The sequence below is a fragment of the Homo sapiens genome, chromosome 1 (genome assembly GCF_000001405.40).
Source record: "Homo sapiens chromosome 1, GRCh38.p14 Primary Assembly".
Taxonomy (NCBI): Eukaryota; Metazoa; Chordata; class Mammalia; order Primates; family Hominidae; genus Homo; species Homo sapiens.
The window spans coordinates 51765278-51785518 of NC_000001.11; the positions used below are offsets into that span (position 1 = coordinate 51765278).

Consider the following 20241-nt stretch of genomic DNA (forward strand, 5'->3'; position numbering starts at 1 on the left):
CCCCTGACTTAGGTGGAAAAGAGGAGAGGAATTTGGATGGTGTGTGTATTTTCCATGTGATTGCCAAAAAATATTGAATGATAGGAATGTGATATCCTGCAATATTTTAATGTTTATGTGGTCTTAATATTCTTTTCATTTTGCATTCCCAGTGGCTCACTGCTGCATTTTTAGGTATCTGGATCTGCAGTGTAAAATAAGAGTCCCGGCATCCCATTGTAATCATATCTGTTGTTGGACTTGCAACTCCACAACTCATATAATCAAAAGGGCCCCCTTCCTAGTATTAATGATAATCTTTAATTATAGAATGAGGACATAGCTTTTTGTTTCATTTATTTAAAAGGCTGTGTCCTCATTTTATATCATGATTTGCCATTTTCTGTGTGGAGTTTAAATGTTGATTTTCTTTATAAATACTGTAGCGACTTTTACAAACTTAACCAAACTCTTTTTTGATTTTAGAAAAGTCTGCTTTGACTCCATCTCCCTAGTTTCTTCTCTTTCACCAATATTTTTCTCTAAAACCCTTTTAACTTCCTAGGCAGTGGCCATTCACCACCGAGTAGCAGTCTCACTTCTCCAAGCCACGTGAACTTGTCTCCAAATACAGTCCCAGAGTTCTCTTACTCCAGCAGTGAAGATGAATTTTATGATGCTGATGAATTCCATCAAAGTGGCTCATCCCCAAAGCGCTTAATAGAGTGAGTAGATGAACAGAATATGTATTTAAATGATTCTCCTGATTTTTAAAAATCTAATTTGATTTTGAGACTAGTGTTAATGACAGACTTGCCTCATCAGTTATTATTTGGGAAAATTAAAAGGGCAACCTTTTTAATAGAAGTTTTTTTATTGATGTATAATAGTTGTATGGACAACTTGTTTTTGGTTGGCTTATTGAGCAAAGCCAGTTCTGTGAGAGTTTTGATTTTAGTCCTAAGTTAATCCAAGTGGAATAAATAGCATCACCTATAGTAATGTGCCAGCGTTATTAGTTGAACCCTGGCCGTTTCTACAGTACCAACATTAGGAGAGGGTCCAATGAGAGTGAATAAGCTATGAAGCATTATACAAATAAGAGGTTTCTATTACTTTTTTCTTTTTTTAATTAGAGTGGAAATATTCAACACCTATCAGCCAGGCACTGTGCTAGGTTGATATCAAGGTTACAAAGATCCAGGCCCTGCCCACAGGGAACTTTTGGGGGAATAGGCAGACATTTATAATCTAATGAAATACGTGGTATGGTATCTTAGTCCCTTTAAGCTGCCATAACAAAATACAGTAATCTAGGTAGCTTATAAACAACAGAAATTTATTTCCTACAGTGTTATGGAGCAAAAGGGGCTTGCTGCCCAATGTGCTAGAAGCCATTACTAAGTCCCAGGTTTTTGAGGAAAGAAAAGCTTTTTATTGCAAGTCTACTTACAGGGAAATGGAAGTCCACCTCAAATCTGTCTCTCTGCACTGGCTTTAAGGCACTAATTTTATTTAAAAACGTTTAGGGAGGCCAAGTGTGGTGGCTCACGCCTGTAATCCCAGCACTTTGGGAGGCTGAGGCTGGCAGATCATGAGGTCAGGAGTTCGAGACCAGCCTGACCAACATGGTGAAACCATCTCTACTAAAAATACCAAAAAAAAAAAAAAATTAGCCAGGCATGGTGGTACATGCCTATAAATTCCAGCTACTCAGGAGGCTGAGGCAGGAGAATCACTTGAACCTGGGAGGCGGAGGTTGCAGTGAGCTGAGATCACACCACTGCACTCTAGCCTGGGCAACAGAGCAAGACTCTGTTTCCAAACAAACAACAACAACAAAAACAGTTTAGGGAGCCAGGTGTGGTGGCTTATGCCCCTAATCTCAGCAATCTGGGAGGCTGAGGTGGGAGGATCAGTTGAGCCCAGGAGTTTGAGACCAGCTTGGGCAACATGGTAAAACCCTGTCTCTAAAAAAATACAAAAATTAGCTGAGTGTGGTGGCACACGCCTGTCGTCCTAGCTACTCGGGAGGCTAAGATGGGAGAATCTCTTGAACACAGGAGGTGTAGGTTGCAGTGAGCCGAGATTGGGCTGCTGTACTCCAGCCTGGGTGACAAGAGTGAGACTCTGTCTTAAAAAAAAAAAAAAAAGAAGTAGAATTACTGATTTACTTTCATTTTACTTGTGTTTGTTGTAGATGTATTAATAGCTTAGTTTTTGTTGGGAATTACTTCTAATTCTGCTTTCTCAGGGGACTGTTACTATACTGTTACTATAGCTAGGGTTTTTGCTTTTTAACACAGTACAAATTTGGAAATAATTAAATGTAAATTTGCAAGCCAATTACCTTCAGCCAGTCCTATGTGGTCTAGGTGAATATATATAGTTAAGACGTGGAAGGGAGGTTTAAATCTACAACTAAAGAAGGCCAGTGTAGCAGAAAGGGCTTAGTTTAGCATATTGGTTTCTTTTTTTCATTTTGAATGTTAAAACATAAACTATTGAGAAACCATTGTTAGCAGTTTGCCAATAGAAATTTAATTTTGGAAAAAAAGTTTTTATAATAATGGGGTTAAAAGAAAATAAGCATTTGGAAGAAAATTCGAAAATGAAAGGTTATTATTAATTTTTGAAGGGTTCAGTCATTATTTTATTTAAAAGAGAATTAAAGACCGTCTTTTTTTTTTTTTTTTTTTTTTTTTTTGAGACACAGTCTTTGTCGCCCAGGCTGGAGTGCAGTGGCGCCATCTTGGCTCACTGCAAGCTCCGCCTCCCGGGTTCACGCCATTTTCCTGCCTCAGCCTCCCGAGTAGCTGGGACTACAGGCGCCCGCCACCACGCCTGGCTAGTTTTTTGTATTTTTAGTAGAGACGGGGTTTCACCGTGTTAGCCAGGATGGTCTCGATCTCCTGACCTCATGATCAGCCCGCCTCGGCCTCCCAAAGTGCTGGGATTACAGGCATGAGCCACCGCGCCCAGCCTTTTTTGAGACGGAGTTTTGCTCTTGTTGCCCAGGCTGGAGTGCAATGGTGCAATCTCGGCCTCCTGGGTTCAAGCAATTCTCCTGCCTCAGCCTCCTGAATAGCTGGGATTACAGGTGCCCACCACCATGCCCAGCTAATTTTTGTACTTTTAGTAGAGGAGGGGTTTTGCCATGTTGGCCAGGCTGGTGTCGAACTCCTGACCTCAGGCTGTCCGCCTGCCTCGGCCTCCCAAAGTGCTGGGATCACAGGCATGAGCCACTGCACCTGGCCTAAAGACAATACATTAGCTATTGTTCTAAAAAAGTGCAATTGAATGTCACTTGCTAGTAAATCACTCATGTATCCATCCTTTAAAAGCATATGACTGTATTCAGTAAAAGCTTGATAATATGTGGTTAGCTCTTGGTAACATCACTGATAGACACTCTCTGGCTCCGTTTTGAGGGATTCTCCCAAAATTTCTATGAAATCGAAACATTTAAAACACCTGTTGTACCTGTAATAGGCAGGTCTACAAAGTCATGCACAGGCTCATGGGCTTCTTCTATTCCTGCTGTTAAGGTTCCTTCTATGCTCTCCCAGTACCCTGTCCCATAATAAACACACAGTTCATGAACATCTCTTTGAAAGGGTCCAGAGTTAAGTTTTTATGTCCAACTAACCCACTCTGTGTTCCTTTTCTCCCTCAATTTCACTCTTCCTTGTTTGTATATTCTAATCTAGAAGCCCAAACCAGTAAGGACTGCAGATGTTTTATTTGGGCAGCACAGTGTTCTGTTGACTTGTTTTTTGTTTTGTTTTAACAAGGCTTTAGATTCTTTCAGGTTGGGTATGCTGACTCCCCAGTTCCATATATATCTTATGTCTTGGTCCTATCCACATATTCTCTGCCTGGCATCTGTAGCTATTTGAGCTTGTGACACCTGCTGGTCATCAGCTGCTACTGCTGATTTTCTAACTGAGGTCAAATTTCTTTTTACTATTTTTTGTTTTTCTCTTTCTGAAGGAAGAGAACTTGAAAGCTTAAGTCCTTTCACTGTTCTTTTTCTAAAGACCTATACTAATGATAGCTTCTGTGTAACTATGGCACTGAGCACTGTAGTTTACACATTTATAAATTAGATAAAAGTACATGTTGGAAAGAACTTGTACTTTGGAGCCAGACGTGTTTGAAATGGCTCCACTACTCACCAGCTGTATGACTTCAGACCAGTCATTGAACCTCCGAGCGTCTGTGTATTATGAGCGTCATTGTGTTTTCCTTAGGGTTGTAATGTAGATATAGACATACCGTGTATGGTGCATACAAGGTACTCGATAAATTATTATTATAATTCATAGCTTTAAATTGTTTTTGCATACTTTATGATTTTATGCCTAAATTCTAGACAACTTAGCCCATTGCAGATAAAACTTTCCTGTATACATAGGTGTTGTTTTTAACTGTTTTCTTTATATCATTTGTTCTGAACAAGGTAAATTATGAAATGGCTGAAAATTTATCCCATTTTTTTTCAATTTACAGTCTTACTGAGTATTTCACTTGGCTCAGACATGGTTTCTAATCATGGGTAAGGAGAAAAAACACAGCATAAATAGGACCTTTGAAATTACATCTAAAATAAGATTCATATGTTATAGGATTTGGGGTTTTTAGGTCAATTGATTTAAAAGATTGACTCTATTTTGAGATACATCACAGAGGCACAAAGCATTTTAAAGGTAACTTTCATGCTTTTTTTTGAGACAGAGGGTCTCACTCTATCACTCAGGCTAGAGTGCAGTGGCACGAACACAGCTCACTATAGCCTCAACCTCATGGGCTCAAGTGATCCTCCCACCTCAGCCGCCCCAGTAGCTGGAACCACAGGCACACACCACCATGCCCAGCTAATTTTTTTTTTTTTTTTGAGACAGAATCTCACTCTGTCGCCCAAACTGGAGCTGGAGTGCAGAGGTGCGATGTCGGCTTATTGCAACCTCCACCTCCCAGGTTCAAACGATTCTCATGTCTCAGTCTCCAAAGTAGCTGGGACTACAGGCGCATGCCACCACGCTCGGCTAACTTTTTGTATTTTTAGTAGAGATGGGGCTTCACCATGTTAACCAGGCTGGTCTTGAACTCCTCACCTCAAGTGATCTGCCCACCTTGGCTTTACAAAGTGCTGGGATTACAAGCCTGAGCCACCATGCCCAGCCTAATTTTTTATTTTTTGTAGAGATGGGGTCTCACCATGTTACCCAGGCTAGACTCAAACTCCTGGGCTCAAGTGATCCTCTTGCCTTGGCCTCCCAAAGTGTTGGAATTACAGGCGTGAGCCATCATGCCTGGCCCCAGTTCTGTCATTTAATGATCATTTGATTTCTCTTACCTGTATCTTTTAGACATATTTTCCATTGCCTCTCAAAACTGGTGAGGTGGACATTAGTTATAATACCTTGTGATATATACTACTAAATAATCAAAGAAGTAATACTTAGTTACTCAAGAAATTTTGAAAAATAGGTAAGTAACCAGGGCAAACTAGAATAACATAATATATTCTAATTTTAGAATATCCTAATATTCTAGTGTTCTAATACAGGCAGAGCCCAGAGGATTTTTACAGCAGTGAAACTATTCTGTATGATACAATGGTGGATACATGTTGTCATATATTTATCAAAACCGATAGAACAGGCAACTCCAAGAGTGAACCCTAATATAAACTGTAGACTTTGAGTGATAATGATGTGTCAATGTAGGCTCATTGGTTGTAAGAAATATACCTCTCTGGTATGGGATGTTGATCATGAGGGAGGTTTGCAGGTGTGGAGACAGGGAATGTATGCATGCTGTCTATATTTTCTGTTCAGTTTTGCCATGAACCTAAAACTGCTCTAAAAATAAAGTTTATTAATTTAAAAAAATTAAAAGAAGTTAAGTAACAAGGGCAAATTATGATTAGATTAGAATACATGTTTTCGCACGTGTAGAGTTGTAATAAGACTCATGTGTACTGTTTTATAAATATCTAAAGCGTGAGAAATTTGATTTCAATTTTTACATTTAATAAGTAAATTGTGTGCCTTTTTTATTTTTCCTTTATTTATATACAAATACCAACTGGGTGTGGTGGCTCACACCTGTAAACCCAGTGACTTGGGTGGCTGAGGTGGGAGGATCACTTGAGGCCAGGAGTTCGAGTCCATCCTGGGCAACATAAGGAGACCTTGTCTCTTAAGAAAAATATAAATATACGTGCGTGTGCGCGCACACACACACACTTCCATCGGTAAATTATGATCACAGGTATGATAATCTATTAATAATAGAATAATCTTTCTTTAGACCTGTTAACTGGCTCATAAAAGCCAGTTAGCATGAATTTACTTGCATAAATAAGATGTTTTTTTATTTTATAATTTCAAGTACAGTTTTTTAATGATTAGGAAGAGTGTTAATACCAATGTGGGCTTTTATTAAAGGATCTCAAACATAAAGACAAGACATGTTTCTGAGACTTGCCGTTTCTGGAATTGTTGCCAAGAATTGTGACATATTTAGATTTATACCCAGTAACAAAATCATAAAAGGAACTCTAGTTTTAAACTTAAATGCAGAGGCAAAGATCTCACTAATTTTTGATGACTTCTAGGTCTTGACTATCAACATGGCTTTGTTGAGCACATCCTGTGCATAAAGGATAAGACAAGAGACCTTGTCATCAAGAGAATTCTAAAGCATATATATGCATGCATGTAACCAGCTAACTGTACGAGTCTAGCTTACTATGATTCTAAATTGCTTTCTTTAGCTTAAATAAGGTAATTAATGTTTTTATAGTTCTTCTGGATCTGCCTCAGTCCTGACACACAGCAGCTCGGGAAATAGTCTAAAACGCCCAGATACCACAGAATCACTTAATTCTTCCTTGTCCAATGGAACAAGTGATGCTGGTAAGTGACCTTTGATAATTTAACTTTTTTTTCTTTAAAAATATTTGTGGCCAGATGTGGTGGCTCATGCCGTAATCCCAGCACTTTGGGAGACCGAGGTGGGCAGATCACTTGAGGTCCGGAGTTCAAGACCAGCCTGACCAACATGGTGAAACCCCATCTCTACTAAAAAAATACAAAAAATTAGCTGGGCATGGTGGTGCGTGCCTGTAATCCCAGCTGCCAAGGAGGCTGATTCAGGAGAATTGCTTGAACCTGGAAGATGGAGGTTTACAGTGAGCCAAGATCGTGCCATTGCACTCCAGCCTGGGCGAAAGAATGAGACTCCATCTCAAACAAACAAACAAACAAAATTGTAATTCTAGTATCAGGACAGATTGGCCCAATTTAGCACCATTCTAATAAGATCTGCTTTATTTTAGACCTGTTTGATTCACATGATGACAGAGATGATGATGCGGAGGCAGGGTCTGTGGAGGAGCACAAGAGCGTTATCATGCATCTCTTGTCGCAGGTTAGACTTGGAATGGATCTTACTAAGGTAAGACCAAATTTGCTGTAAGTCTGTGTGGGTATGTATGGATTCTCAGTGATTGCGTGGTGAGTGTGCCTGCAAATGTAGTAAAATGACATAATTTCTTTTTATACCTGTGTCTTCTTGTGATTTAATATAGATGTAGATAAGTAAACAAAATTTTATAAATGATGAAATAAGTCAAGCTAGGATAATTTCATAGAGAACAGTGTGTATGAGTTGTATGGATTAAGATTTGGTAGAGTTCTAATCTTAGGGTCAGAGGATCTGTGTTTTCGTCCTACCTCTAATATTAGCAAACCACGCACGGTCTTCAGTGAGTTTCTTCTGTTTCTTCCTCTGTGGACTTCAGGGTTCTCTATGCAAATTGGACACATAGTAACCTGTTTCAGAGGGTTATTGTAAGGATTGGAAGAGGTAGTAAATGTAAAATTGTGACATATTTGTGACCTCTGTCTCCCAGGTTCAAGCGATTCTCCTGCCTCAGCCTCCTTGGTAGCTGGGACTACAGGCACGCAAAATGACACATATTGAGTCATGCAAAATTACCATAGTCTGGATTTGAATTTGAATTTAAACTTGGAGCTCTCAACAGAATGCATGCTTGAATTAGGAGACTGGTGTATGGGTGCCTTTGTATATTCCTGCCACTGTGCTAGAAAACCCCCTCCTTTCACTTAATTCTCACCACAGTACCACAGAGTAGGTGTTATTAACTTCATTTCATCAGGAAACTAAAACTCAGAAGTTAAGTAATGTGGCTGAGTCGTGTTAAGTCATATTAAGTGGCAGACTGAGATTCTAATCTGCTCCATGATTTTAAAACCTGTAATCTTTCCACTACTGCCTTTGTCTTGAAGGCTTGAACTGTATTAACTTTCATATTGATTATTGTTCTGCCGAGCTTTGGGGAGTTGATTAAATTTAGAGTTCTCACTTTTGTTAGGGCAAAATCAATTCCAGTGTTATAGTCTTTGTCAGTAGTGAACTCCTTTTTGTTTTGGATTTAGAGGGCCATTAAGAAAAAGACTAATTCATAATACCTTCAAGTAAGTGTCTGTAATAAAACCTTTTACCCCTAATCTAAGTGAGAACAGAGACACAAGGACAACTTTTATTTGTGGAGCCCAACACACTTACTAGGAATGTTCTAGGTAGGAGAACATTTGCAGGAGTTTGTCCCCGGAATTGCTTCAGTAATCATTAGATTGTACAGCTGCTGGCGTTGTTGTTGTTGTTGTTGTTGTTGTTGTTGTTGTTGTTAGGAAGGACGTTGTTTTCCAGGAGTGGCTCATTAGGCTTCCTGTTGAATCTCATTGGCCAGTATCAGGCATATGCTCGTGCCTAAACCTGCCACTGGCAAGGGGGAGGCTAAATGATTGGTTTAAATGAATCCACATTCACCCCTTGAGACGTGGAAGAGAAGGCCATGGCAGCCCACAGCTGAACCTGAACTGAATCAGAGTTCTTGGGGGTGAAGCATGGATGGGGAGAGGCAACCAGATGTATTTGCCACAATCAAGTTTGTAATTCTTGCCTCACATAATTTTCTCTGCCAAATAAACCATATTTGAGTCCATAGCTGCTAAAAGCTTGTTATATTATAAATGATATTATCATAATTATTTTTTACTGAATGTGTTTAAAATAAGTCATTTTTGAAATTTTTATTGGCACAAATGGCTGTGATTGCCAACAGATTCTGAAATCTTGGTTCCTTTTATGCATTCCAAAGTATTGTTACAATAATGCCTTAAATTTGTGTCTTTTATAAGAATGTTTTCTCACTTCAGATACTTTCCAAAAAGAGTTTGTTTTCCAAATACTTTGTAGTTTTTAAAAATACTACACAGTCACATCCCATTTAACCTCACTCAGTCTTTAAAATAAAAGAACCCTAACATATAAGCAGGGCATGTAATTATCTTCCTTTTCAGGTACTTAGAGAAATTGAGTTAATTTTTCAGGGCCTCCTCACAGCTAAGAAGAGGCTAAACAAGCTCTTGAACCCAGGTTGAAGACAGCTAAACCCAGCTCTCTTCATCACTGTTACAGCAGTTTGACTTAATAGCATGTATCAGTATAGCACTACAAACATTGAAGAAAATCTGTTAAATAAGAGTTCTCAGAAAAATCCTAAGTAGAAGAAAAAAATATTTATTTTTTTTAAATTACGTGTGAAATTAAACTTTTTAAAAATGTTTTTTGGCTGTTCAGTTCCTTTGTCCATTTATCTACTGGAGTAGTGATCTTCATCTTGAGTTGTAAGAGCTGTTTATACATTAAAGGTATTTATCCATGTTTTCTTCTTCAGCATTTTTACTCGGTGGTTTATAATTCTGCGTTATCTAAAGTGGTAAGAAGTTGTACCAAGGCAGTATATAAGCTTCCCTGCTAATCTAACCCTATTTGGATTATGAATTTACATGTTCTGTGGAAGAAAAATGTTTACCTAAAATTTAAATGCTGAGAGTCTGATAATAGAGATTCTAAGTGTTACAGTCTTAGTGTCCCTTTCCAAGCTTGTGTTCATCAGCCCACTTTATATTTTCATTATATGTCCAGCCACACTGGTTCACTGATTAATCCCTGTCACACCCCTCTTCCTATCCTTTCCTTGTCTTTTTTTTTTTCTCCCGTCTCCATGTCTTGTTCTTTTATCACAGCCTTACTCTTCTTTAAGGCTTTTCTCTAGTGCCACCTCAATAAATTGTTTCCCAGCTCTGCCCTCATTCTGTTCCCCCAAACAGAGCATGATCTTTCCTTGAACTGAACTTCCAGGGTGCTTAGAGCATTCTTGTATGATGTTTGTCACATTCCACCTACAATTTAAATGCTCTTGTTATTCTCTCATACTTACCTTTGTCTCCACCATAGCTTGCTTGCATTTATTTATTTATTTATTTATTTAGAGATGGGGTCTTGCTCTGTCACCCAGGCTGGAGTATAGTGGTGCAATCTTGGCTCACGGCAACCTCTGCCTCCTGGGTTCAAGTGATTCTCCTGCCTCAGCCTCTCGAGTAGCTGGGACTACGGGTGTGCGCCACCACACTCAGGTAATTTTTGTATTTTTAGTAGAGACGGGGTTTCACTGTGTTGGCCAGGCTGGTCTCGAACTCCTGACCTCGGGTGATCCACCCACCTCAGCCTCCCAAAGTGCTGGGATTATAGGCACAAGCCAGTATGCCCAGCCTCCACCACAGCTTTTAACACAGGACCTTGAATATAGTGGATATGTAGTTATTACTAAATGTTAAGAAATTTTTGCTTACTCTGGGGTGTTCTACTTCGTAATGAATAATTGATAATCTGATACTCATTTCAAAAACTCTTCTCCCATTCCCATTCTCTAATGAAATTCTTCTCTTTTTTTCATTGGTTAATCATCTTTCTCATGTCTTCCCGTATTCCAGTTTGTTGGTTCCCAGTCTGTATTCTTTTCTTCTTTTTGTTTATTCCTTTAATTGCTCATTTAAAAGTTTCTTACTGTGTAAATAGTAGTGAGAGCGCGAGTGTGAATAAAACTTAATTCTTGGATTGTAGGTGCTCATCATGTATTTCCTATACACTTGTCTAATGATGATAGAGCAACAGCAGTAGAAAGTGCACACACGCCCCAAACTCAGATCCAGTTTGAATTCCACATTAATAATGGGACAATTAATAGTGGGACGCTGAGCTTCATATTTCTTCACTGTAATAATTTCTTCATCATAGGGCTATTGTAATATAATATGTATGTAATATACAAATAATAAAATAATGTATATGTAATGTCCAGCAGATAGGAGGCATCAAAGGATTCCTCTGAGTGAGTTTGTTGAGTAGTTTGTTGTTGTTACTATACTTAGGGAGAAAAAGGAAGTTTCACAGAGGAAGTGACATTTGAACATTCAAAAGTCTTTCTCTGTTTTTGATCTGCTAGGCAGGTTAATGGTCATTTCTGAATCTGACAGGTTGAGAATTAGTTTTTGGAGCATGCCTGGGCAATATGTGGTGGATGTTACCATGATTTGAATGAGGTGGTGTTTTGTTTTGTTTTCTTTTTTTTTTTTTTAGTCTGTTTATCTGAAGAGAAATTTGATCTTCAAGGGTCAAATGTGTATGTTTTTCAGGTAGTTCTTCCAACGTTTATTCTTGAAAGAAGATCTCTTTTAGAAATGTATGCAGACTTTTTTGCACATCCGGACCTGTTTGTGAGGTATTTGACTGAACATGGTAGTTTCCAACGTTTACAGATGTTACTCAGCAGCTTTCTGCCTTTTATTTTGCAGGATAGATGGATTCCTTGTCACCTTTCAAACATTTCTGGGTATTCTGTGGTATTGAATAATGTGTTTACACTGGTTGCCTGTTTGCTTAAAGTTATATGGTGGCGATGTTAGGCAACCAAGTTTAACACTTTAAAAAATTCTCAAGAGCCCGTTAATAGGTAGCCAATATTCACAAGGCCAATGGTATAAGTTTATTTAATCCAGGCACTGGCAATCACTGTCAAATTATTTGTACTATATCCTAATGAAGCTTAATTTTCTGAGTTCAGCAAACCTTTCCAAAGCACCTGTTGTTTGCTAGGCACTTTCTTACAAGTTGGAGAAAGGAAAAGTCATGTCTGCCCTTGAGCTTACAATATAGTATCCAAATTATAGATGATTTATAAATTTTAAATATAAAGCTTGCAATATTATATATGTGTATATGTATGAGATAGAAGTAATGTAAAGGTGAAATTGATTTACAAGGAGGTGAGTTCACATTGCCTTTCGCTGGTAGCAGGAAATTTTTTTGTAATGGGGAATGTTGTTAGTTCGTCTTCTCTGCATTCCTTAGTCTCAGACTGTGGTTTACTGAAGCTAGATACATATCACTGAAGTTTCTTGCTGGGTGGATACATTGGCTGACATTGATAAATATATATTTTTTTTTTCTTGATGAAGATTTAAAAGAATAACCAATTCCCCAAAGGCAGAAATTTAAATAAATATGGCAGTGTTTAAATTAACAGATAATTTAAGAAGTAAAATTTAAGCATTTATTAGTAACGTGTAAGCAAAAATGGAACGTACCAGTTGTTCATTGGGTATAGATTTGAGATTTAAGGGTAGTTTTTATGTGTGAGAATTTAAACTTTGAGGCCCCCAGAACTATTTACAGGCCAGTTGCAGTGGCTCATGCCTGTAATCCCAGCACTTTGGGAGGCCAAAGTAGAAGGATTGCTTGAAGCCAGGAGTTTGAGACCAGCCAGGGCAACACAGCACAACCCTGTCCCTACAAAAAAAAATTTTTAATAATAAGCCAGGCTTGGTGGTGTGCACCTGTAGTTCCAGCTACTTGGGAGGCTAAGGCAGGAGGGTCATGCAGTCCCAGCAATTTGAGGCTGGGACTGTGAGCTATAATCACACCACTGCAGCTTGGGTGACAGAGCAAGACCCTGTCTTAAAAAAAATAAAAGTACAGTTCAAAAGCCAGTAGATAAGATTAAACGGAATCATACAAATACTCCATTAATTCTAAGAAAGGAGAAAAGGAGAAATAATGGCATGAACAAGGAACAAAGGGGGCATGTAGAAAACCTATTAAAATGGTAGAGTTAATCCCAACTATATCAACAGTTACCACTCCATTTAATGTCAGACTGGATTAAAAAAGCAGGATTTATCTATATGATATTTTCAAGAGAGAAACTTTAAAGACACTGGTTAAAAGTAAAAGGATGGAAAATGAGATACTATGCAAAACACTAAACATAGCAAAAACTGGTGTATCTGTATAAGTATCAAAGGAGACTTTTAAGACAAGAAATATTATTAGAGACAAATAGGAATATTTTGTAATGATAAAAGCATCTATTTATCAAGAATAAATAATACTCCTAAATATGTATGTACCTAATAACACAGCTTCAAAATACATGCAGCAACAAAAATTGACTAAAAAGAGAAATAGCCAAGTCCACAAATTCATCCGTCAGGGTCTCATGAAGCAAGTAGCCTCTGCCTTCACCACCTCCCCGCCCCCCCAAAAAATCAGGAAGGCTATAGAAGATTTAAACAGCATATCAAATCAACTTGACCCAGTTGGCCTTTCTAAACACTACCCAACAATTGTATAACACAGAGTCTTTTCCAGGTGCATGTGAAATGTTTATCAAGATAGAACATATATAGGGAAGTCTTAATAAATTTAAAATAATTGGAATCATACAGGGTGTATATTCTACACCCATGAATTAAATTAGTAATTGATAACATACAGAAAATCTCCAATTATTTGGCAATTAAGCAATGCACTTACATGGACTTAATCTATGATACTAGAAACCAGAAGCAGTGTTTGCCTCAGAGTAAGTAAGATGTGGCGATTGTTTGGAAAGGGAGATATGGAAACTTTCTGGATTAATGGAAATATTCTGTTTTTTGATTAAGTGACGATTAATTAAATAGATATATACGTTTGTCAAATCCTCAAGCAAAACACTAAGACCCAGGCACATAGACCAATGGAACAGAATAGAGAACCCAGAAATAAAGCCAAATACAGCCAACTGATCTTTGACAAAGCAAACAAAAACATAAAGTGGGAAAAGGACACCCTTCTCAACAAATGGTGCTGGGATAACTAGCAAGCCACATGTAGAAGAATGAAATTGGATCCACATCACTCACCTTATACAAAAATCAACTCAACATATATCAGAGACTTAAATCTAAGACCTAAAATCATAAAAATTCTAGAAGATAACATTGGAAAAACTTCTGGACATTGGCCTAGGCAAAGACTTTATGACCAATAATCCAAAAGTGAATGCAACAAAGATAAATAGATGGAACTTAGTCAAATTAAAAAGTTTCTGCACAGCAAAAGAAATAACAGAGTAAACAGACAACCCAGAGAGTAGGAGAAAATATTCGCAAACTATGCATCTGGCAAAGGACTAATATCCAGAATCTACAAGGAACTCAAACAGATCAGGAAGAAAAAAAAACAAAAACAAAAACAAATAATCCCATCAAAAAGTGGGCTAAGGACATGAATAGACAATTATCAAAAGAAGATAATGATAATAAAATAAATGGTTGGCCGGGCGCGGTGGCTCACACCTGTAATCCCAGCATTTTGGGAGGCCAAGGCAGGTGGATCACGAGGTCAGGAGAGTGAGACCATCCTGGCTAACACAGTGAAACCCCGTCTCTACTAAAAATACAAAAAAATTAGCTGGGCGTGGTGGCAGGTGCCTGTAGTCCCAGCTACTGGGGAGGCTGAGGCAGGAGAATGGCGTGAACCCGGCAGGTGGAGCTTGCAGTGAGCCAAGATCGCGCCACTGCACTCCAGCCTGGACAACAGAGCGAGACTCCATCTCAAAAAGAAAAAAAAAAAAAAGGCCAACAAACATGAAAAAATGCTCAACATCACTAATTATCAGGGAAATGCAAATCAAAACCACAATGCAATAATACCACCTTACTCCTGCAAGAATGGCCATATTAAAAAAAAAAAAAATAGATGTTGATGTGGATATGGTGGAAAGGGAACACTTTTACACTGCTGGTGGGAATGTAAACTAGTACAACCACTATGGAAAACAGAATAGAGATGCCGTAAAGAACTGAAAGTAGATCCACCATTTGATTCAGCAGTCCCACTCCTGGGTATTTACTCAGAGGAAAAGAAGTCATTATATGAAAAAGACACATGCACACACATGTTTATAGCAGCACAATTTGCAATTGCAAAAATGGAACTAGCCCAAATGCCCATCAATCAACAAGCAAATAAAGAAAACGTGGCATATATATACTGTGGAATGCTACTCAGCCATAAAAAGGAACGAAATAATGGCATTCACAGCAATCTAGATGGAGTTGGAAACCATTATGCTAAATGAAGAGACTCAGGAATGAAAAACCAAGCTGGTGGCAAGCACCTGTAATCCCAGCTACTCGGGAGGCTGAGGCAGAGAATTGCTTGAACCTGGGAGGTGAGGTTACAGTGAGCCGAGATCACGCCACTGCACTCCAGCCTGGGTGACAGAGCGAGACTCCGTCTCAAAAAGAAAGAATGATACAGTGGACTTTGGGGCTTCAAGGGGAAGGGTGGGAGGGGTGTGAAGGATAAAAGACTACACATTGGATATAGTGTACACTGCTTGGGTGATGGGTGCACCAAAATCTCAGAAATCACCACTGAAGAAGTTATCCATGTAACCAAACACACCACCTGTTCCCCAAAAACCTGTTGAAATTAAAAAAAAAAGAAAAAACCACTAAGACCAATGCATTTAATTATATATATTATACTCAATTTTAAAATGAAACTGTAAGCTAACTCCTGGTCCTAGGTCCTCAGTCCTCTCAGCCTGACTTAGGTGGACCATGCTGGGGGTTGTTGCATCATCTTGTCTTGTACCAGAAAGCAGGACATTAAATTTTGTCTTTCTCCCTTGCAGCATTAGTGACCAGAAGGATCCCAAGGATCGAATGGTTCAGGTTGTGAAATGGTACCTCTCAGCCTTTCATGCGGGAAGGAAAGGATCAGTTGCCAAAAAGCCATACAATCCCATTTTGGGCGAGATTTTTCAGTGTCATTGGACATTACCAAATGATACTGAAGAGAACACAGTGAGTTCTGCATTGACATTTTTAAATTATCTTAATTGTATACTGATTCAAGATTTTATTTAGGGGCAAATAATAATGATGAAAGCAATGATCAAAAGATGGTCACCACCCATAGAAGAAATTGTTGTTAGAGCAGCATAGTTTGAATGTAGTGAGAAGGAGGAAAAAGAGTAGGATGAGATGAGGATGGGGATGTAGAAATCAGATCTTGCAAGGTCTTGTAGACCATAATATAATTTTATGGCTTTTCAGGATCTCATTTTTGTTTTGAGAAGATCAATAGAATGATTTTGTGAAAAATAAATTGAGAAGGGGCAAATATAGAAGCATGAAGACCATTGTGGAGGTTTTGACATTATTCCAAGAGAGACATGGTGATTCAAGCTTTATTTTGGAGGTAGAACTGATTGATGGATTGGGGGAGGTAAGGGAAAGGAGACATCAGAGATGAATCCTTGCATGTGGATGTAAGCAGTGGCAGTGTCATTTACTGATAAGGAAAAGATTGGATTTGGGGAGGGAAAAATCAAAAGCTAATATAAAATATAAAGTTTTAGAGGTCTGTGAAGCTGTCAAGTAGGGAGATGGAATTTAAGAGTGTGGAGTTTAGGGAGAGGTCTGAGATGGGGATGGGGCTTTCAAAGAGTATAGTGTATTTAGATGACATTTTAAAGCTCTAGGATTGGATAAAATTATTTAGGAAGACAGCATAGCTACAGAAGAGTAGGTAACCCAGAACTGGCTCTGAGGCTCCAACAAATTTAGTGGTTGAAGAAAATGACCAGCAGGGAAGACTCAAATGCATGTAAAAAGGCTTTAAGAAGTAAAAAAAACAAAACCATAGCCCACAGCACCTGACACATAATAATCTGTCAGTAAACATGATTCTCCATATATTTCCCTCTCCAAGTGATGCACTACGTATAGTCCATACTGAAGACAGACAAGTATGTGTCTGTTCTTATTCATTTGGCAGACATTGATAAGTGCCTACTCTTGTCAGCCCTGAATGAGGCACACAATCCTTGCCTTTAAGAATGTCTTAGTCTAGTCAGGGAGACTGACACAAAGCAATTAAAATATTGTAGTTAAGTTCTACAATAGAAATATATATATAGGGTGCTTGGTGTGTGTAGAGCGAGCAGAGACCCCAATTACCAGATTCTCTGAAATGTCATTTGTGTTTTCTCATCAAAAGAAAATTATGTTATATTTGCTTGCAGGAACTAGTTTCAGAAGGACCAGTTCCCTGGGTTTCCAAAAACAGTGTAACATTTGTGGCTGAGCAGGTTTCCCATCATCCACCCAGTAAGTTACAGAGCTCCTCTGCAACCTGTGCTCTCAAAACTATTCTGTCTAAAGAGGGTCATTAAAAGCGCCATAGCTGAGGGTACTGTCAGTTGTGTGACTAGCTGTGTGTTTCTTATTCCCTGAAGTGGAAACTCAAGTTGATTTGTTCCTCATATCTTTTCCTTTTGTAAGCTCCAGACTCTTAGCTTCACAAATTAAGTGCGTATAAAAAGAAGGGATTTAGGAAACCAACTTTTAATGCTTCCAGAGTCATCTTATATATAGTAATTTGTGCTGTAGAGACCTCAGCAACTGTGAGACAGTTTATATAAGTGATACGTAGTTTCTACACAGTATATTCCTGGCATACTGCAGATACCAAAACCGAGGATGCTGAAGTCTCTTACATAAAATGGTGTCTTTTATATTCATATAACCTATGCACACCCTCCTGTATACTTGAGTCATCTCTAGATTACTTATAATACCTAATACAATGTAAATGCTATGTAAATAGTTGTTTCACTATTTATTTGTATTATTTTTATTTTGTATTTTTAAATTTTTTCTTTTGAGACAGGGTCTTGCTCTGTCCCCCAGGGTGGAATGCAGTGGCACAATCATAGCTCACTGCAGCCTCCTGGGCTCACATGATCCTCCCACCTCAGCCTCCCAGTTAGCTGGGACTATGGACATGTGCCACCACACCCAACTAATTTTCTTATTTTTTTTTTTTTTTTTTTAGAGTCAGTGTATCACTATGTTGCCCAGGCTGGTCTCAAATTCCTGGCCCCAAGTGATCCTCCCGTCTTGGCCTCCCAAAGTACTGGGATTGCAGGCGTTAGCCACTGAGCCCAGCCTCTGTATATTTTAGATCCACAGTTGGCTGAATCTGTGGGTACAAAACCCATGGATATGGAGGGTCAACTGTACATACCCTCAACATCTGGTTTGTTTAGTGCAGTATTAAAACTGGAAACACTGGCTGGGCCTAGGTTGGGGCTGGAGCCTGGGTGTACTTGCAGACCAGAACAGATAGCCCTTTTGGTTTTAAGCTTCCTGGGTTGGCCACAGCATCATTTCAGGGATGATCCTGCCCACGTGGCTCTGAATGAATGCTTGCATTGGGGAAAAGGGTATAAAAGGCAGGTAGGTACCTCCTGGCGTAATTGGAGGCTGTTTGAAGGGTAAAGGATTTCCCCATGAAGCCAATTATTTCCCCAGGTTATGTGATTTTGGAGAGGTGGCTGTAGGTATATATAATCTACTAATTGAAAATTTCTATTCAGTTTCAGCCTTTTATGCTGAGTGTTTTAACAAGAAGATACAATTCAATGCTCATATCTGGACCAAATCAAAATTCCTTGGGATGTCAATTGGGGTGCACAACATAGGGCAGGGTAAGTGTGTTGGCATTGGGTGGACTACAATGTTATAGGAGAATTTTATGAAAATGGCTAGACTAGATGTCATTGTTAGCAACTAAGCATTGGTATTGGGGGTGAGAGCAAAGGGTGGGGAACTAGATAGGTTATCCCTAAATTGAATGGAGTATCCTGGAGTAACCATCAGCTCGACAAGAAAGCCTTGTGGCCACTTGGCACTACTCATCAGAGATTCTGTCCCTTCTCTCCACAGGCTGTGTCTCATGTCTAGACTATGATGAACATTACATTCTCACATTCCCCAATGGCTATGGAAGGCAAGTGTGTCCATTTCCTCTGATCAGCAGTAGACTCTGCTGTTCCTTGAGACATGCCCCTTCCCCCTCTTCCTCTTAACTGTCAACCTTACCTAAAAACTTTTGATTTTGCAGGTCTATCCTCACAGTGCCCTGGGTGGAATTAGGAGGAGAATGCAATATTAATTGTTCCAAAACAGGCTATAGTGCAAATATCATCTTCCACACTAAACCCTTCTATGGGGGCAAGAAGCACAGAATTACTGCCGAGATTTTGTAGGTATTTTTTCTGCCTTAGAGCTCTTATGCTTTTCTGAAATAACTGCCTTTTGTCTTGAACTACAGCTTCTGGATTAGGAGTGTGAAAGAATGGTTCTGTCTTTGTAAGCGTGTTTCACATTTTATGTGTCATGTCTTTTGCTGAAGTCCCATATCAGAAGAAGACCTAAAACATATATTCAGAGCAGTCAGAGGTCATTGATAGGTTTCCTTCCTAAAAACCTGACTTGCAATGTTGAACTAAAAGAGGCCTTCCTAGGTTGCCTAGCTAAACCAGATTATGGATCCCTAATTTATTCTTGCCAGATTGAATGATGAGCTGGTCCTTACAGCAGACTTTGTGACCCCTGCAGCACTGCCTCCTGGTCCTCACAGCTATCCCTTTTTCTGTGCCTTTGCTGGGGAAAAACAGTAACCATCACATTTTGCACGCATCTGGCTTGCTTCCACTTGACACTCTTGGGTCACGTGCAGATGACTGTGCCAGTCAGTGGAAAGTCTATAGTGATGGCACCATGACTCTCTCTGCCTCTGGAACCCTTAACTGGGGGGGAAGGGGACAGTGGGAAAGAAAGTTTCAGGCGTTGATAGCAGCTCTCCTCCCTCTGCCCTGGTCATGTCTCCCTTTTCTGGCCTCTTTCAATCCTGTTTATGCCTTGCCCTTCCTAACCAGGCCTTTGCTGTGTTGCTTATCTTCTCACATTCCATAGTTGTGTGTCCAAGTAGAGGTCTGTTACGGCTTTTGCAGAATGGATCCTTGCTCAGGGAAAGTATTCACACCATCTGGCACAGAGGTCCCTTTCAACCTGAGGATGAAAGCCTGCATTATATTCTTAAGCAAAGCCTTCCCTGACCCCCAGTGCCCATGTAAGCTCACCACAGCACTTACCACCTAGAATTTCAATGGTGGTTACGTCTCTCTCCACTACGCTG

The 20241-nt window shown here is 39.2% G+C and overlaps 1 protein-coding gene across 16 annotated transcripts in view, besides 1 other annotated feature; it reads left to right on the forward strand.

The window, feature by feature from the left end:
• OSBPL9 (oxysterol binding protein like 9) overlaps positions 1 to 20241 on the forward strand; it is a 270948-nt gene that overhangs the window by 247006 nt on the left and 3701 nt on the right. For all 16 annotated transcript variants that reach the window (NR_036662.2, NM_001416294.1, NM_001416293.1 and 13 more), the window contains 9 exons: positions 545 to 704; positions 6793 to 6905; positions 7328 to 7446; positions 11556 to 11641; positions 15887 to 16058; positions 17282 to 17366; positions 18638 to 18748; positions 18987 to 19050; positions 19165 to 19305. Coding sequence is in view for 15 of the 16 variants with exons in the window: in NM_001416294.1 (NP_001403223.1) it covers positions 545 to 704; positions 6793 to 6905; positions 7328 to 7446; positions 11556 to 11641; positions 15887 to 16058; positions 17282 to 17366; positions 18638 to 18748; positions 18987 to 19050; positions 19165 to 19305 (1051 nt within the window). In the remaining variant the exon portion in view is untranslated. The remainder of the gene's footprint in view (positions 1 to 544; positions 705 to 6792; positions 6906 to 7327; positions 7447 to 11555; positions 11642 to 15886; positions 16059 to 17281; positions 17367 to 18637; positions 18749 to 18986; positions 19051 to 19164; positions 19306 to 20241) is intronic.
• Positions 19940 to 20234: a silencer, noted in NCBI's record as "tiled region #3774; K562 Repressive DNase unmatched - State 17:Gen3'". NCBI's record gives its function as "represses a minimal TATA promoter and a strong SV40 promoter by Sharpr-MPRA in K562 cells {active_cell/tissue: K562}" and the evidence as "EXISTENCE:reporter gene assay evidence [ECO:0000049][PMID:27701403]".